Here is a 16,925-nt window from a genome sequence, read left to right on the forward strand (position 1 = left end):
GCTCACTGCCTACCCATCGCCAGGTACCTGTACTGGACAGACTGGGGTGACCATTCACTGATCGGCCGCATCGGCATGGATGGGTCCAGCCGCAGCGTCATCGTGGACACCAAGATCACATGGCCCAATGGCCTGACGCTGGACTATGTCACTGAGCGCATCTACTGGGCCGACGCCCGCGAGGACTACATTGAATTTGCCAGCCTGGATGGCTCCAATCGCCACGTTGGTCAGTGTGCCAGTGAGGCTGTCCAGGCACAGCAGACTCAGTGGGGATGGAGGTCTGAAGCGACAGGGGATCAAGTTTTGGGGGCAAGAGTGGACATAAAAAGCGGAGGATATGGCCTGAGGACACCACTCACTGGGGTGTGGGGTTCAGAGCACCCCGGGGGCTTCCCCAGCCTGGCCACCACCCAGCTCCCTTGGGAAGGAAGAGGAGAGGCCCTTCCCTTGTATACACAGTTCTGGAGGACTGGCCCCAAGGAGGGTGGGGGTGGGAGGCCTGCGATTGAGAACTGCAGTGCTCCCCACTTCCCGAGGGGAGCCATACACTGGCAGGGCAGGAACTTGCCATGAGGCAGTCTAGGTTTGAACTCCAGCTCTGACACTTGTTAGCTGTGAGACCATGGGGGGTCTGTACCATGAACCATCTGTAACTGGGGCTGACACCCACCTCTCAGGGTGGTGGTAGGGCTTGAGGAGGTGGAGTGGGCCGGCACCCTGTCCGAGCTCCGGCTGACTGGCACTGTGCCTGCCCCTTGGCCCTGCAGTGCTGAGCCAGGACATCCCGCACATCTTTGCACTGACCCTGTTTGAGGACTACGTCTACTGGACCGACTGGGAAACAAAGTCCATTAACCGAGCCCACAAGACCACGGGCACCAACAAAACGCTCCTCATCAGCACGCTGCACCGGCCCATGGACCTGCATGTCTTCCATGCCCTGCGCCAGCCAGACGGTGAGCAGGCAAGGGGTGGGAGCAGGCGAACGGTGAGCCAGGCACCGGGGTCCCTGGGAGTTCCTGCTCATCCCTTCTCTAGCATTGACCAAGCCCTCCTGGCCAGACACTGGGAGACTCCAGGAGGGTCTAGACAGGGGATGGTCTGGCTCCCGGGAGCTTCAGCCCGGCCTGGATCCAGCCCTGGAGTCTGGCAGCAGCAAGTCCCTGAGGCCAGTCAAGTGGGGGTCTGGGTGCCCAGCCCCCAGAAGGAAGGCAGGCCGGCCCCTGGGAGGGAAGCACAGAGGAGGTGGGGAGCTGGCCTTCAGGCCTGGCCTGATCCTGGGACCTTAGAATCCTCTCCTATCTCCAGCTTCAGCTCCCTCCTAAAAGAGGCAGGGTTCAGACCCACCCGCCTCTGTCCAGGATAGAGTGAGTGAGGCAGCCTTTGGTAGGCCAGAAAATGTCACCATATTTCACGACGTTTTCTCTGGCAGTGCCCAATCACCCCTGCAAGGTCAACAATGGTGGCTGCAGCAACCTGTGCCTGCTGTCCCCCGGGGGAGGGCACAAATGTGCCTGCCCCACCAACTTCTACCTGGGCAGCGATGGGCGCACCTGTGTGTCCAACTGCACGGCTAGCCAGGTGAGGCTGTCCCCCAGACCCCATCACCAGTGCCCGCTCCCCAACCCCCAAATCCTCCTTGGACCCCAACACCTGCTCTGTCCTAATGTCCTCATGCATCTGGTTTTCCCACACTAACACCCCCACATTTCTTGCCTACCTCTTGTCTCCCCACAGCAATACTTTTACCCCCGTCACCTCACACAGACACCTCCACACCCTAACCTTGACCCTCCTTGCCATGCTTCAGTGCTGCCTTCCCCACCCTATCCCACGCAGCCCCATACCTGGCCTTTCCGAACTCACCATAGCCCAACCTGCCCCATAACACCCTGACCCCTGCCTCAACTTCTTTGAAACATCCAAGCCCCTCAAAAGAAAGACTTCTGAGTCCCCCAGACCCCCACCAACCCCTCTTGCCCCCACCTGCCCTCCAGTTTGTATGCAAGAACGACAAGTGCATCCCCTTCTGGTGGAAGTGTGACACCGAGGACGACTGCGGGGACCACTCAGACGAGCCCCCGGACTGCCGTGAGTGCCTGCTGGGGGTGACAGGAGGGCCCCCAGCTGTGTCGGAGGCCTGACTCCTGAGGCTTTGAATGGCCACTGGAGAGGCTGGGGCTGTGGTGCCCTGCAAGTGGACCTGGCCGTGTCCACCCCAGCCGCTCTGACTCTGAGCCTCCCTCTCTGGCAGCTGAGTTCAAGTGCCGGCCCGGACAGTTCCAGTGCTCCACAGGTATCTGCACAAACCCTGCCTTCATCTGCGATGGCGACAATGACTGCCAGGACAACAGTGACGAGGCCAACTGTGGTAAGGCGCTGCCCGCCCACCCTCCCTCCTTCCCCAGCATCTTCCCTGCCCCAGGATTTGGGGCTTTCAAGTGCAGGGAAGTTGCAGCCCACGGCAGCTTGCTCTCCAGGCTGGATTCCTATGGCTCAAGCCTGTGTCCTCCCTGCTGAGGGATGGGCACCCTCTCCCTGCCCCTGAGTCCTCCCTTCGCCACGAATCACCTCCTCCTCCCTCCACAGACATCCACGTCTGCTTGCCCAGTCAGTTCAAATGCACCAACACCAACCGCTGTATTCCCGGCATCTTCCGCTGCAATGGGCAGGACAACTGCGGAGATGGGGAGGATGAGAGGGACTGCCGTGAGTGTCAGAGGTGGTGGTGGGCCGGTGGTGGGAGATGACACGGAAGCAGGGCAGGCAGAATCTCCCCACAGCTTTGAGAGGCTCTCAAATAACTTTAGTAGATGGGCAACACAAATTATATTGGGTGTAACTTGCTTTGCTCATAAAAATCATCATGCATGATATAGAGACATAGAGATCCAGAAAACAAAAAGCACCAAAACTGGGGATAAACTGTTCCTTCCTCCGAAGAAGTTGCTGGCAGGACCAAGGCCAGGGCTTGGAAGAGAGAGAAGACAGTGATGGTGAACTGGAGTGGCAGGTGTAAGGGAGGGCCCTCATTCTCTTGCCCACCCCACAGCCGAGGTGACCTGCGCCCCCAACCAGTTCCAGTGCTCCATTACCAAACGGTGCATCCCCCGGGTCTGGGTCTGCGACCGGGACAATGACTGTGTGGATGGCAGTGATGAGCCCGCCAACTGCAGTGAGTTGCCTGGCCTGGAGCCCAGCTTCCCTCCCCAGTGTCTGCTGCTCACACCACCCCGACGTGTGACCCCCTCAGTGGCTGCTCCCTCACTCTCCCCACCCTCCCGGCACACTCCTGGAAGGAGTCTCATCCTCACCCCATGCCCACCCGCTTGCAGCCCAGATGACCTGTGGTGTGGACGAGTTCCGCTGCAAGGATTCGGGCCGCTGCATCCCAGCGCGTTGGAAGTGTGACGGAGAGGATGACTGTGGGGATGGCTCGGATGAGCCCAAGGAAGAGTGTGGTGAGCCGAGACCCCACTCCAGGAGGAAGACAGTCTACCTGGGTGGGAGGCATGGCACCCCTGGCAGGTGGAGGGCTGGGGGCCGCCTGCTTACCGGTCTCAGCGTGGCCCTGCTGCTGGGCTTCCTGGGCCTGCTGTGGGGCTGGGGAAGGAGGCCTGGCTGGAGCTCACTTCCCCACATCCACCCGTGCCCCATGTCTCCCAGTTTCCCTATCCCTGCCCCTGCCCACGCCTCATCCACACATACCTGTGTGGAGTTTTCCCTGCCCACCCTATGGGATCTGTTCATCTCCTTCCCAAGGCAGCTGCCCACACACACACCCCCAACCATGTCTCCTGTCCCCAAACCTCCTTATAGACCCCACGTCTCAAAACACCGCCTGGGCTCCCCGCGGCTGACCCTTCCCAAGCTGGGATGCCCACCCTCCCTGCCAGGCCAGCCTGACCATGCCTGCTTGGACCCTAATGTCTGCCCCAGCCCTTTCCCTGACTGCCCTGACACTTGCCTCCTCCAGATGAACGCACCTGTGAGCCATACCAGTTCCGCTGCAAGAACAACCGCTGCGTGCCCGGCCGCTGGCAGTGCGACTACGACAACGATTGCGGTGACAACTCCGATGAAGAGAGCTGCAGTACGTCCCCACCCACCCAGCCCCGCATGAGCCCCTCCCAGGCCTGGCCCTTGTCTCGCGGCCCTCCTGCCACAGGCCGCGCCAGAGCTGGTGGCCACCTCCCAGGGTGGGGGCAGGAGCCGCCCTCCTCACCCATCCCACTCCATGTCGTGTATTTGAGTTTGTGCCATTTCACCTCATCTCATGTTTCTCTCCATTTTCACACTGTCCTCTCGGGGTTGCAGAGGTAGGTGTCTCTGATGTGCCCGTGCTCCCACCATACCCCCACCTCTGTCCCAGAGCCCCCCATCCCTGTGCTGTGCCTCTACCCATCATCCTTGATTGACCTCTCCCCAAACCCTGGTGCTTGTCTCAGTGGTCTTGCCCCCGCTCCCCTCCCCAAACACAGTCTGTTCTGAGGGCAAGGCCAGGGACCTGTGTCCTCTCTGGTGTCTGTCCCATGGGGTAAGTGCGAGCCCGCCTGTGCCCAGCTGTTCCATAGGAGCAGCCAGTGGGCTCTGCCAGGACTGGCTCGGCCTCTGGGTCAGTCAGCTGTGGCCTTCAGAGACACGGGGATGGGCCTTGGGCTCGGGACTGTGGCACTACTGAGGCCTGGAGTCCTTGTGCCCACCCTCCTGGGCCTGTCTCCCCCTGTCCTTCCCAGCCCCTCGGCCCTGCTCCGAGAGTGAGTTCTCCTGTGCCAACGGCCGCTGCATCGCGGGGCGCTGGAAATGCGATGGAGACCACGACTGCGCGGACGGCTCGGACGAGGTGGGCAGGGAGATGAGAAGGAAGCAGATGGCCTCAGAGGAGTTCAGGCAGGGCTTGGGGAGTGCCGAGAGGTGACCGGCTGCCTGTGCCCATGCCCACAGAAAGACTGCACCCCCCGCTGTGACATGGACCAGTTCCAGTGCAAGAGCGGCCACTGCATCCCCCTGCGCTGGCGCTGTGACGCAGACGCCGACTGCATGGACGGCAGCGACGAGGAGGCCTGCGGCACTGGCGGTGCGCCCCTTGGCTTGGTCTCCCTGGGTCCTCCCTCTGCTGCCCACCCCGCCACATGGCCCAGTCATTCACTCATTCTTTCTCTTCTGTATTCATTCTTCATGCAACAAATATTTATTAAGCATTTACCATGTACCAGGCACTGCCATAGGTGTTAGGGACGTAGTAGTAAACAAGACACAGGGCCCCTGAATACACATTTTTGTGCGGGTTGTGCCCAGCTCAATGCCCCCTAGTCTAGGGGACCAGTTGAGCTGAAATCCAGCAAACCCTGAGGGCTGTGCCCATCTAGGCCCCACCCCACAAGTCCCTCCGAGACAGTCTGCTGCCACAAGAAGAAAAGCCCTGCCTATTTTCCCTTCCTGGGGGCAGTGAGACAGTGCCTGTCCCTCGCTGACCTGCCTGGGCTCTGCAGTACAGAGGGGGCAGGTGAAGCCCGGGATGAGAAAAGACTGGGCCTTGGAGCGGAAATCCCAACTGTGCGGGCAGATGTCTTGGCTCTGCCTTGGTAGGCCAGGCACAGGGATGGGAACCCGGTCTTCCATTCCCAGCCCAGTGCTGTTCCCGCGTCCCCGCTGTGGAACTACACAGCCCAGTGCTGTTCCCACGTCCCCGCTGTGGAACTACACAGCACAGTGCCCTGCCACATACCAGAGAAGGAGTGCCCTCTGAACTCCTCCAGACACCCCTGAAAAATGGCCTCTTCTCCCCTAAATACCAGAGGGGGCAGTTTGGCCCCACCAAGTAGAAATTTAAGAGACCTGGTTCCAATTTGGCTGTGCCACTGCTTGCCTGGTGACCCCTCTGAGCCTGGAACCCCCACCTGTGGAGACAGGGGTCTGGGTGGGCTCATGGCTCATTCTATCTCTTGGCTCCCCCTGGCACCAGTGCGGACCTGCCCCCTGGACGAGTTCCAGTGCAACAACACCTTGTGCAAGCCGCTGGCCTGGAAGTGCGATGGCGAGGATGACTGTGGGGACAACTCAGATGAGAACCCCGAGGAGTGTGGTGAGATTTGGGGCGGGGCTCCCAGGCTTCCCAGTGGCCAGCAACCACCCCCACTCCCAAGACTAATTCTGGCTCTGTGTCCCCCTGGCTGCTGCAGCCCGGTTCGTGTGCCCTCCCAACCGGCCCTTCCGTTGCAAGAATGACCGCGTCTGTCTGTGGATCGGGCGCCAATGCGATGGCACGGACAACTGTGGGGATGGGACTGATGAAGAGGACTGTGGTGAGCAGGGGGCCGACGAGAGGCCTGCAGGGGACGGGTAGTGCACAGTGGGGTGAGTCTGGTCCTCGTGGGAGCTGCACTGGGGTTAGGGTTAACCAGGAGGACTCGCCCAGGAAGGGGAGGATCCATTGCTAGGAGCCTGGGGGCTTTTCGTTAGGAAAGAGAAGCCCCTGGGGAAGGCTCTGGGGGCTGCCTGATGCCTTAGGTCTTGGAGGTGGGGCTGGGAACCCAAATGTTTGACCTGCTCCCCCTGCAAGCCTTGTCACTTAGGAATTGGGAGCCACTGTTATCTATGGGGTTGCCGTGGGAGGAGGAGGCAGGGGAGAATACCCAGGGCCTAAAGCCTCTGCCCTCCTCAGAGCCCCCCACAGCCCACACCACCCACTGCAAAGACAAGAAGGAGTTTCTGTGCCGGAACCAGCGCTGCCTCTCCTCCTCCCTGCGCTGCAACATGTTCGATGACTGCGGGGACGGCTCTGACGAGGAGGACTGCAGCATCGGTGAGGCCCGGCAGCGGACCGGACGCTGGTGGGGAGTGGGGAGAGCCAAGCCCTGGCCTGGGGTGGCTCAAGGGAGGGCATCCACTCTCTGTCCCCCACAGACCCCAAGCTGACCAGCTGCGCCACCAATGCCAGCATCTGTGGGGACGAGGCACGCTGCGTGCGCACCGAGAAAGCGGCCTACTGTGCCTGCCGCTCGGGCTTCCACACCGTGCCCGGCCAGCCCGGATGCCAAGGTAGGAAAGCGGGGCAGAGCAGGGGTGGACACCCCAACTGTGGACTCTCATGACCCTCCCTGTAACCCTTAGACATCAACGAGTGCCTGCGCTTCGGCACCTGCTCCCAGCTCTGCAACAACACCAAGGGCGGCCACCTCTGCAGCTGCGCTCGGAACTTCATGAAGACGCACAACACCTGCAAGGCCGAAGGTGCCGGAGCCACCAGAGGGCAGAAAGGCTGGGTGGGGCAGGGCGACCAGGATATCAAACGGGGCCGACTTGGAATGGAATGTCTTCCTGCGGACATCTTGCCCAGACAAGAAGCCCCAGACTCATAGTTGCAGCTGCCTGAGCACAGTGCTGGCCCAGCAGTGGGGGCAGGTCCTGGGGCTGGCTGACTGAAGGAGTCTGGGGTGTGGCAGTGCTCTGAATTGCACACACACCTCCTCACCCACCACTGCCAGGACGAGAGTACACTCAGACACGCATTGCACACTCACAGTCATGGGGGCCTCACCTGCACATTCCCCACATGCTTTGATGCCCACCTTGCCTTCCACATGCCTGTACACAGACATTCACACACACCCCTGGCACACACACCCCCACCATGCACTCCCATGCACACCCTCGTGCTCCATGCCAAGCACACACACCCCATGTGCCTATGCACCCCCGAGCATGTGCCAGGCAGTTTGTAGCAGAGAGCGTGGTGATGCCATCCAGCAGCCGTGAGGAGGTGGAAGTCTCTGGGTCTGGAGGGGCAGGGACAGCTTTCTGACTGAAAGGAGCGGGTCACAGTGGATCAGCTCAGGGGAGGAGAGGAGGAGGTCCAGAGGCTGAGGTTGGAGCCTGCAACCCTGAGCAGGGAGGGTAAGCAGCAGCTTCTGGCCGGAGCAGATGGTCCTACCAGGAGATGGGACAGTGTTCATGTGAAAGGAGCTGAGCTGGGTGGGGTGCACACCTGCATCCCACAGCCCCAGCCCTGGCCTCTTGCTTCTCCAGGCTCTGAGTACCAGGTCCTGTACATCGCTGATGACAATGAGATCCGCAGCCTGTTCCCCGGCCACCCCCATTCGGCTTACGAGCAGGCATTCCAGGGTGACGAGAGTGTCCGCATTGATGCTATGGATGTCCATGTCAAGGCTGGCCGTGTCTATTGGACCAACTGGCACACGGGCACCATCTCCTACCGCAGCCTGCCACCTGCTGCGCCTCCTACCACTTCCAACCGCCACCGGCGACAGATTGACCGGGGTGTCACCCACCTCAACGTGAGTGCCCAACCTGGCGTGGATGGAGTGGAAGAGCTCCATAGAGCAGGCGGTTCAGAGCAGGATTTGAAAAGGGCAGTGCTGGCTAGGCGCAGTGGCTCACGCCTATAATCCCAGCACTTTGGGAGGCCAAGGCGGGCAGATCACCTGAGATCAGGAGTTTGAGACCAGCGTGGCAACATGGTGAAACCCTGTCTCTACTAAAAATACAAAAATTTGGCTGAGCGCGGTGGCTCATGCCTGTAATCCCAGCACTTTGGGAGGCAGAGGTGGGTGGATCACGAGGTCAGGAGATCCAGACCAACCTGGCTAACACAGTGAAACCCCGTCTCTATTAAAAAATACAAAAAAATTAGCCGGGCATGGTGGCGGGCGCCTGTAGTCCCAGCTACTTGGGAAGCTGGGGCAGGAGAATGGCATGAACCCGGGAGGCGGAGCTTGCAGTGAGCCGAGATCGCGCCACTGCACTCCAGCCTGGGCGAGAGAGTGAGACTCGGTCTCTAAATAAATAAATAAATAAATAAATAAATAAATAAATAAATAGAGACTCGGTCTCTAAATAAATAAATAAATAAATAAATAAAATAAAATAAAATAAAAATACAAAGATTAGCCAGGCGTGGTGGCGGGCGCCTGTAATCCCAGCTACTCAGGAGGCTGAAGCAGGAGAATCCTTTGAACCCAGAAGGTGGAAGTTGCAGTGAGCCGAGTGCCACTCGGTTGCAGTGGCACCAAGGTTGCAGAATAGCACTGCACTCCAGCCTGGATGATAGAGCGAGACTCCGTCTCAAAAAAAAAAAAAAGAAAAAGAAAACAAAAGGGCAGTGCGAGGGGCAAAGGTTGAGAGTGGGGCAGGGGGCAGTCTTAGGATTGTGTTCTGAGGCATGGCCAGCGGGAAGACAGAGCAGTGGGAATGGTCAGCAGCTGGCTGTGCTGCAGGCAGCCCAGGGCACAGGGCATGATGGGCAGGCAGACAGCCCTCCGGCACCAATCCCCCATCCTTGCCACTTCCCACTGTGTACGTCTTAGCTACCTCATTTAACCTCTTTGGGTTTCACTTTGTTTATCAATAAAATTAGGTGATCATCGCCATTGCACAGGCTTCAGGGAGGGCTCACCAGCCACGTGTGAGAGCTGCGAGTCTGGCGCATAAGCTCCATGCCGGTTGAATCTCTTTAAAGCCAGGGTCCTGGCTGTGAGCCTGGGGTGACGTTCCAGCAGGCTGGCAGAGTGGTGGCGGGGGGATAATGGCAGGAAGACAAAGCAGTGGCCCCTGAACCTGTGGCTTCCATTCAGATTTCAGGGCTGAAGATGCCCAGAGGCATCGCCATCGACTGGGTGGCCGGAAACGTGTACTGGACCGACTCGGGCCGAGATGTGATTGAGGTGGCGCAGATGAAGGGCGAGAACCGCAAGACGCTCATCTCGGGCATGATTGACGAGCCCCACGCCATTGTGGTGGACCCACTGAGGGGGTGGGCAAGGGCCCTGGGGGGAGGCCTCTGGGCTGGTGGTAGGAAGCCCCCGGGACAGGGTTGGGGGCTGCACCCACATGCGTGCCCTTCCCTCCCAGGCCAGCCTGAGGACAGAGTCCTTTTCAGTCCCTTGGGTCTTCTCGGCCACCCCTGCCTGGCCCTCCCCATGCTGCCTCTGCCCAGGGCCCCCAGCTGGGCCTGCTTGGGCAGGGATCTGACCTCTGCTTGGCCGGCTGTCATGCACAGCCACACTCTGCCCTGGGGAACAGCTCTGCCAGCGTCGGTGGCTCTGAATGAGCACACTGTGGTTTTAGAGGAAAAGCCCCTCAACCTGCTCAGAAGCAGACTCCCGCCTGCTTCTCTGTAGAAGGACAGAATGCCCTCCTCCCAGTCCCCAGCAGTCCCTGTCCCCAGACCAAGAAGCTGGTGTCCTGCCTGGGCCTGCCTCCTCTGGCCCTCCGGCCTGCCCACACTCACCCCTTCTCCCTCCCCAGGACCATGTACTGGTCAGACTGGGGCAACCACCCCAAGATTGAGACGGCAGCGATGGATGGGACGCTTCGGGAGACACTGGTGCAGGACAACATTCAGTGGCCCACAGGTTTGTGGGGCAGGGTGCAGGAGGGACGGGCATGGAGGGGGCCCGGCTCGCAGAGCCCAGCTGCTGCTGAAGTCACACAAAAGCAAGGGATGGGATGGGGCTTGGACTGGGGCAGGGCAGATTGGCCGTGGAGGCTTTTCCCGAAAGAGGTGACTGTGAGTGGCGTATGAACAGGGTGGAGCTGTCCCGGGCATGGAGGCAGTTCTTTCCACCCCGAGCCTGGGTTGGGGAGGCCAAGCTCTCACAGTGCTCTCTCTCTCCCCAGGCCTGGCCGTGGATTATCACAATGAGCGGCTGTACTGGGCAGACGCCAAGCTTTCAGTCATCGGCAGCATCCGGCTCAATGGCACGGACCCCATTGTGGCTGCTGACAGCAAACGAGGTCAGAGCCCGGCATAAGTCGCAGTCCCCAGCCCTGTCCCCAGCCTTGCCATCCTCCCTACTGAGCCAAAGGCCTCACTTCAATGCCTCCCATCCTTTGTCACTGACCCCCAGCAATGCTGCAGCGCCTTCCAGGCCTCTCCAGCTGGCCTCCCCCTGAACCAGCCCTGCAGGCCTGAGACCCACCCTGACCCTCTGGCCTACTTGTCCATTCATTGGTTGGGTTGCACGGAGGCAGCATAGGTACATTAGGAACGTAGCAAATTGGGGGAGAAGGAATAGAAGTCAGTCATGACTGACCCCAGAAGTCTGGGGGTGATGGGACCTTTTGCCAGTAGTGGCCACAGGAGGAGGAACCGGTGTGGGGAGAGAGAATTTGGTCTGGATGTGTTGAGTTTGAGGTGTCTGGGAACCACAGGTGCCAGTGTCGTGGACAGCATGGCCAGGGCCTGAGTGCCCCTCAGGTCCCCTCTGACTCCACCTCCTCCCCCAGGCCTAAGTCACCCCTTCAGCATCGACGTCTTTGAGGATTACATCTATGGTGTCACCTACATCAATAATCGTGTCTTCAAGATCCATAAGTTTGGCCACAGCCCCTTGGTCAACCTGACAGGGGGCCTGAGCCACGCCTCTGACGTGGTCCTTTACCATCAGCACAAGCAGCCCGAAGGTGGGGGCAGAGGGGAGCCTGGGCTGGGGAAGGGAGGCCTGTGGGCATTGAGTCTCCAAGCTGTGGCCCTGGGACCTGGTGGAGAGGGGGTCACCCTGGGCTCACAGGGCTCAGAGAAGGGTCCTGCTCAGCATCCTCCCCACCCCACCCATACCTGCAGTGACCAACCCATGTGACCGCAAGAAATGCGAGTGGCTCTGCCTGCTGAGCCCCAGTGGGCCTGTCTGCACCTGTCCCAATGGGAAGCGGCTGGACAACGGCACATGCGTGCCTGTGCCCTCTCCAACGCCCCCCCCAGATGGTATGCTTATGCCCTCCCAGTCCCAGCCATGCCTCAGGACCATCTCCTTCCTGTGGCTCCTGACTTCCCCTGACCTTGTTGCCTGTCCCTCTCCTCCTATTCCCCTGGCTCTGCCCCTTGACGGGCCCTTCCTGCAGCTCCCCGGCCTGGAACCTGTAACCTGCAGTGCTTCAACGGTGGCAGCTGTTTCCTCAATGCACGGAGGCAGCCCAAGTGCCGCTGCCAACCCCGCTACACGGGTGACAAGTGTGAACTGGACCAGTGCTGGGAGCACTGTCGCAATGGGGGCACCTGTGCTGCCTCCCCCTCTGGTATGCCCCCTCATCCCGCCACGCCTGCTCCTTGCCCCTGGGCCCCAGCCCCGCCACCCACCACCCCACCTCAGGCAAATGCCCAGCCCCTGCCTCGCCTCCAGCCTCCTTTCCACAACCCAGCATCCAGTCACTCCAGTCTCTGCTTCTCGCCCAGGTCCCCCCAGCCCATTCCTCTGCTATAGGGCCAGGTGGTCTCGAGGGCCACAGTCGCGCTCACACATCCTCTCCCACCAGGCATGCCCACGTGCCGGTGCCCCACGGGCTTCACGGGCCCCAAATGCACCCAGCAGGTGTGTGCGGGCTACTGTGCCAACAACAGCACCTGCACTGTCAACCAGGGCAACCAGCCCCAGTGCCGATGCCTACCCGGCTTCCTGGGCGACCGCTGCCAGTACCGTGAGTGAGCCATCCCTGGGCCCCAGGGCATGCGGGAGGGTGACGGGGGACCCCAGAGCATGGGGTGATGTTCAACCTGTGCCTGGGACCCACAGGGGCAAGTTCAGGAAAGAAGGCCTTATGCAGCTGAGCCAGGCCCAAGCTGCTGGCGCTTCCCCACAAAGGTGCTGGCACACTTCCCCTGAGGCAGTGCACCCCCTGCACCAAGATTATGCAAACAGAAAAGCTCTGTTCAACCTATGGAGAGCCCTCATGAGGGTGGGGCTTGAGGCACTTCTCTCCCTCCCCAACCACAGGGCAGTGCTCTGGCTACTGTGAGAACTTTGGCACATGCCAGATGGCTGCTGATGGCTCCCGACAATGCCGCTGCACTGCCTACTTTGAGGGATCGAGGTGTGAGGTGAACAAGTGCAGCCGCTGTCTCGAAGGGGCCTGTGTGGTCAACAAGCAGAGTGGGGATGTCACCTGCAAGTGAGTGGGGCCCTCCTCCACAGTTCCACCCAGCTGGGCCCCTGCCCTGTCCTAGCCCTGCCCTGCCCCTCCCTTCCTCAGCATCCCAGGCACGCCTCTGCCAGCCCCAGCCCCAGCCTCTGATTCCTTCCTGCAGCTGCACGGATGGCCGGGTGGCCCCCAGCTGTCTGACCTGCGTCGGCCACTGCAGCAATGGCGGCTCCTGTACCATGAACAGCAAAATGATGCCTGAGTGCCAGTGAGTTGGGCCCGGGCTTCACCCAGGCATAGATCATCGCTCCCTTCCCCAGATTTGAGCAGGAGGACCGTCAGGCCTCAGTGCCCACCCCCCGCCCTGTTTTCCTGGCAGCAGTGGCTATGGAGGTTATACCTACTCAGCCGTGTCCCTCCTTTCTGCAGGTGCCCACCCCACATGACAGGGCCCCGGTGTGAGGAGCACGTCTTCAGCCAGCAGCAGCCAGGACGTAGGTGGCAGGGGTTGGGGCAGGCAGGGCCACCGGGACCTAGAGCAGGGGGACCGTGTGCCTCCTGCTTCCCTGAGCCTTGGTGACTCAGTGTCCCACCTCTTCCCTCCAGATATAGCCTCCATCCTAATCCCTCTGCTGTTGCTGCTGCTGCTGGTTCTGGTGGCCGGAGTGGTATTCTGGTATAAGCGGCGAGTCCAAGGGTGAGTCACAGGGATTCTGGAACATTCTGGTCATTATTTTGCCATCCTAGCCTTCCCCCCCAATAATCTCTGTCTCCTTATACTCCTGCCTTTCCCCAGGGCTAAGGGCTTCCAGCACCAACGGATGACCAACGGGGCCATGAACGTGGAGATTGGAAACCCCACCTACAAGATGTACGAAGGCGGAGAGCCTGATGATGTGGGAGGCCTACTGGACGCTGACTTTGCCCTGGACCCTGACAAGGTGGGCTGGGAGGCGGGCAGGGTCGAGTGCCAAGAGGCCGTGGGTGGCCTAACCAAAGGTGTTGGGTTAGGTGAGGGACGGAGGTGGGGGTGGGGTAACCTGGGCTACAGGCCCAGCTCCTGAGCCCTACCTGAACCCTCTGTCACCCTGCAGCCCACCAACTTCACCAACCCCGTGTATGCCACACTCTACATGGGGGGCCATGGCAGTCGCCACTCCCTGGCCAGCACGGACGAGAAGCGAGAACTCCTGGGCCGGGGCCCTGAGGACGAGATAGGGGACCCCTTGGCATAGGGCCCTGCCCCGTCGGACTGCCCCCAGAAAGCCTCCTGCCCCCTGCCAGTGAAGTCCTTCAGTGAGCCCCTCCCCAGCCAGCCCTTCCCTGGCCCCGCCGGATGTATAAATGTAAAAATGAAGGAATTACATTTTATATGTGAGCGAGCAAGCCGGCAAGCGAGCACAGTATTATTTCTCCATCCCCTCCCTGCCTGCTCCTTGGCACCCCCATGCTGCCTTCAGGGAGACAGGCAGGGAGGGCTTGGGGCTGCACCTCCTACCCTCCCACCAGAACGCACCCCACTGGGAGAGCTGGTGGTGCAGCCTTCCCCTCCCTGTATAAGACACTTTGCCAAGGCTCTCCCCTCTCGCCCCATCCCTGCTTGCCCGCTCCCACAGCTTCCTGAGGGCTAATTCTGGGAAGGGAGAGTTCTTTGCTGCCCCTGTCTGGAAGACGTGGCTCTGGGTGAGGTAGGCGGGAAAGGATGGAGTGTTTTAGTTCTTGGGGGAGGCCACCCCAAACCCCAGCCCCAACTCCAGGGGCACCTATGAGATGGCCATGCTCAACCCCCCTCCCAGACAGGCCCTCCCTGTCTCCAGGGCCCCCACCGAGGTTCCCAGGGCTGGAGACTTCCTCTGGTAAACATTCCTCCAGCCTCCCCTCCCCTGGGGACGCCAAGGAGGTGGGCCACACCCAGGAAGGGAAAGCGGGCAGCCCCGTTTTGGGGACGTGAACGTTTTAATAATTTTTGCTGAATTCCTTTACAACTAAATAACACAGATATTGTTATAAATAAAATTGTAAAAAAAAAAAAAAAAAAAAAGGCCAAAAAAAAAAAAAAGAAAGAAAAAAAGCCGCTGGTGTCTGCCTGTGTGTGAGAGACGCTGGGAGCTGGGGCTGCGCTTTCCTGCTTCGGCCACCAGAGGGAGACCTGCCCCGTGCTGGAGGCAGGCTGGCGCGTGGTTTTTAGTGCCCTTCTCCCAGGGCCCTCCCCCTCTCCATCTTACTGTGCCCGGGAAGCGGGTGGCACTGGACTTGACATGGAAGATCTGCTTCTCCTGGCTGTGTGACCTTCAGCCATGACTTCGAGTCTCCAGATTTTGTGTTCCCTCTGGGTCTAGGACACTAACTCAGATCTGTTTCTCTGCATTCACTTCTACCAGACACCACCCCCCTACCCAAAATGATCACCCACAGTGAGAAGCCCCACTATAAGAAGTGAATACACTGAGGCTGCAAAGGTTTTCTCATCCTTCAGGGTCCTCCCATGCGGTTCTCTCTGCCTGAGTCTGCTCTTGAAGCACTGACGTCTCACTTTGTGGAGACTAATGAATCAAATGCGAAGTAAAATGCTGCATTCCAGAGCCAGGTGTCTCCTGCGGTAAAGGAGAGCTGGGAAGACCAGTTTGCCAGGCCCTCTAGGCCCCCAGCAGCTCCAGCTCACCAATCATTTCAGTCATTCCAGGGGGTAACAGGAAAAAACTGTCAATCAAAAGTGTCCAGGTCCATTTCAACCCCTGCCTAGAGGGGGAAACTTCTTGCAGAAAGTTGCACAGTTTACACTGCCCAGGACTAGAGAGGGTTTGAGTCCCAGTACAGCAAATATGAGCTCAGGAAGGGTGGCTGCAAATGTCTGAAGATCCCTTACCCAACTCCCAACCAGGAAGTGCTGCCTTTCATTCCTCCTCCCTCACTGGTTCAACTCCAGGAGATTCCTCCCAGGCTTCCTTCTGCCTTGGGGAAGCTACAAGTCTAGGCACCTGTGGAAAGAGGAGCCCTCCCCTTCCCTTCTTAGCCTTCAGAAGCTCTCTCCAACCTCATCCTCCAAGCCAACTCTGAGATCCTCCCCTGCCTTCAAAAGGGCCCTGGATGGGCAACTGCGGGGAAACAGAATCCGTGGTTGCCGAGTAGGAGGTCTGTGTCCCAATCTGGCCACCAGGTGGTGTCTGTACGCCTGGAGCACCGCCTATCCTGAAGCCCCACACAGCCCCCGCCTCAGCACTCATTATGCACCTGCGGGGGACCCCAGCCCAGTCTCTCGCTTCCTTCTCTCCGGCTATTTTGCCACACCCCTCCACCCTCTGCCAGCCAGCTCCCCTCCCTGCCCCAGCGCCTGCCTGCTCCCACCACCACCAGCCCCAACCCTGCCCCTCTGCCATCGGTGCATCTGGTGCCCCCCGGGAGCCACTGATCTCTGCCTGTCACCTCAAGATCCTGGGCAGAGCGACAAGGGACCCCCGCTGCAGCTTGGAAGGCATACCCCTCCAGTCAGCATCCCCCACTCCGCCTGTCAGGACCTGCTAGGAGAAGGTCCACCAGGAGGCAGTTTCTCAAACTACCCACCCGGGAGGCAGGTGGGAAGCCCTCACCTTGGCCTGAGAGATGGGAAGAACCAGGGACAGAGGCTGAGAACCAGGGACAGAAGCTGATACCGAATGAGAGGCAGAAACCCAGAGGCGGAGAGACAGGGGGACAGAGGCAAAGACCCAGAGACAGGGCGAGTAGTGTGCATGTGTGTGTTTGCACTTGTGTTTGTGCGAGCGCGCACACATGTGTGTGTGTAACTGGAGAGAGAACAGGTGGCCTGAGACTGTAGCTAAAGGAGGAGAGATGCAGTGGGTTCGGCCCCCAGAAGACCAGGACCCTGGTAATGGGCTTCTGTCCTGGACAGCCTACGCCTAGGTGTGCCCACTGTTCCCACCTACTACTGAAGCAGCCCCCGTGCCTGGAACGTGGGCTCAGGGTTCTGGCTCAAGGCCTTTTGGCCTTGAGCCTGAACATTTCTGCCCCTTCCTGCCTCTCTCCTCTCCACCCCCACCCCGGCACCC

At 60.0% G+C, this 16,925-nt stretch overlaps 1 protein-coding gene across 1 annotated transcript in view, besides 2 other annotated features; it reads left to right on the forward strand.

Moving 5' to 3' along the window:
• LRP1 (LDL receptor related protein 1) overlaps positions 1–14,920 on the forward strand; it is an 84,879-nt gene extending 69,959 nt beyond the window's left edge. The window contains exons 60-89 of the mRNA NM_002332.3: positions 24–229; positions 771–959; positions 1,436–1,584; positions 2,001–2,094; positions 2,258–2,374; positions 2,593–2,712; positions 3,056–3,178; positions 3,339–3,464; positions 3,980–4,096; positions 4,740–4,846; positions 4,948–5,080; positions 5,969–6,088; positions 6,186–6,308; positions 6,668–6,808; positions 6,910–7,044; positions 7,117–7,236; positions 8,032–8,300; positions 9,597–9,775; positions 10,270–10,376; positions 10,642–10,758; positions 11,251–11,427; positions 11,588–11,728; positions 11,866–12,039; positions 12,277–12,438; positions 12,735–12,909; positions 13,046–13,147; positions 13,309–13,373; positions 13,486–13,576; positions 13,676–13,820; positions 13,974–14,920. Of these exons, the coding sequence (NP_002323.2) occupies positions 24–229; positions 771–959; positions 1,436–1,584; positions 2,001–2,094; positions 2,258–2,374; positions 2,593–2,712; positions 3,056–3,178; positions 3,339–3,464; positions 3,980–4,096; positions 4,740–4,846; positions 4,948–5,080; positions 5,969–6,088; positions 6,186–6,308; positions 6,668–6,808; positions 6,910–7,044; positions 7,117–7,236; positions 8,032–8,300; positions 9,597–9,775; positions 10,270–10,376; positions 10,642–10,758; positions 11,251–11,427; positions 11,588–11,728; positions 11,866–12,039; positions 12,277–12,438; positions 12,735–12,909; positions 13,046–13,147; positions 13,309–13,373; positions 13,486–13,576; positions 13,676–13,820; positions 13,974–14,114 (4,165 nt within the window). The 3' untranslated portion in view covers positions 14,115–14,920. The remainder of the gene's footprint in view (positions 1–23; positions 230–770; positions 960–1,435; positions 1,585–2,000; positions 2,095–2,257; positions 2,375–2,592; positions 2,713–3,055; positions 3,179–3,338; positions 3,465–3,979; positions 4,097–4,739; positions 4,847–4,947; positions 5,081–5,968; positions 6,089–6,185; positions 6,309–6,667; positions 6,809–6,909; positions 7,045–7,116; positions 7,237–8,031; positions 8,301–9,596; positions 9,776–10,269; positions 10,377–10,641; positions 10,759–11,250; positions 11,428–11,587; positions 11,729–11,865; positions 12,040–12,276; positions 12,439–12,734; positions 12,910–13,045; positions 13,148–13,308; positions 13,374–13,485; positions 13,577–13,675; positions 13,821–13,973) is intronic.
• Positions 14,948–14,997: a silencer, noted in NCBI's record as "silent region_4576". NCBI's record gives its function as "represses an Ori minimal core promoter by ATAC-STARR-seq in GM12878 lymphoblastoid cells {active_cell/tissue: GM12878}" and the evidence as "EXISTENCE:reporter gene assay evidence [ECO:0000049][PMID:35858748]".
• Positions 16,231–16,753: an enhancer, noted in NCBI's record as "H3K27ac-H3K4me1 hESC enhancer chr12:57608455-57608977 (GRCh37/hg19 assembly coordinates)". NCBI's record gives its function as "activates a minimal SCP1, AML or CMV promoter by ChIP-STARR-seq in naive H9 embryonic stem cells {active_cell/tissue: H9 hESC(naive)}" and the evidence as "EXISTENCE:reporter gene assay evidence [ECO:0000049][PMID:30033119]".

Source organism: Homo sapiens, chromosome 12, assembly GCF_000001405.40.
Source record: "Homo sapiens chromosome 12, GRCh38.p14 Primary Assembly".
In the NCBI taxonomy this organism is placed as follows: Eukaryota; Metazoa; Chordata; class Mammalia; order Primates; family Hominidae; genus Homo; species Homo sapiens.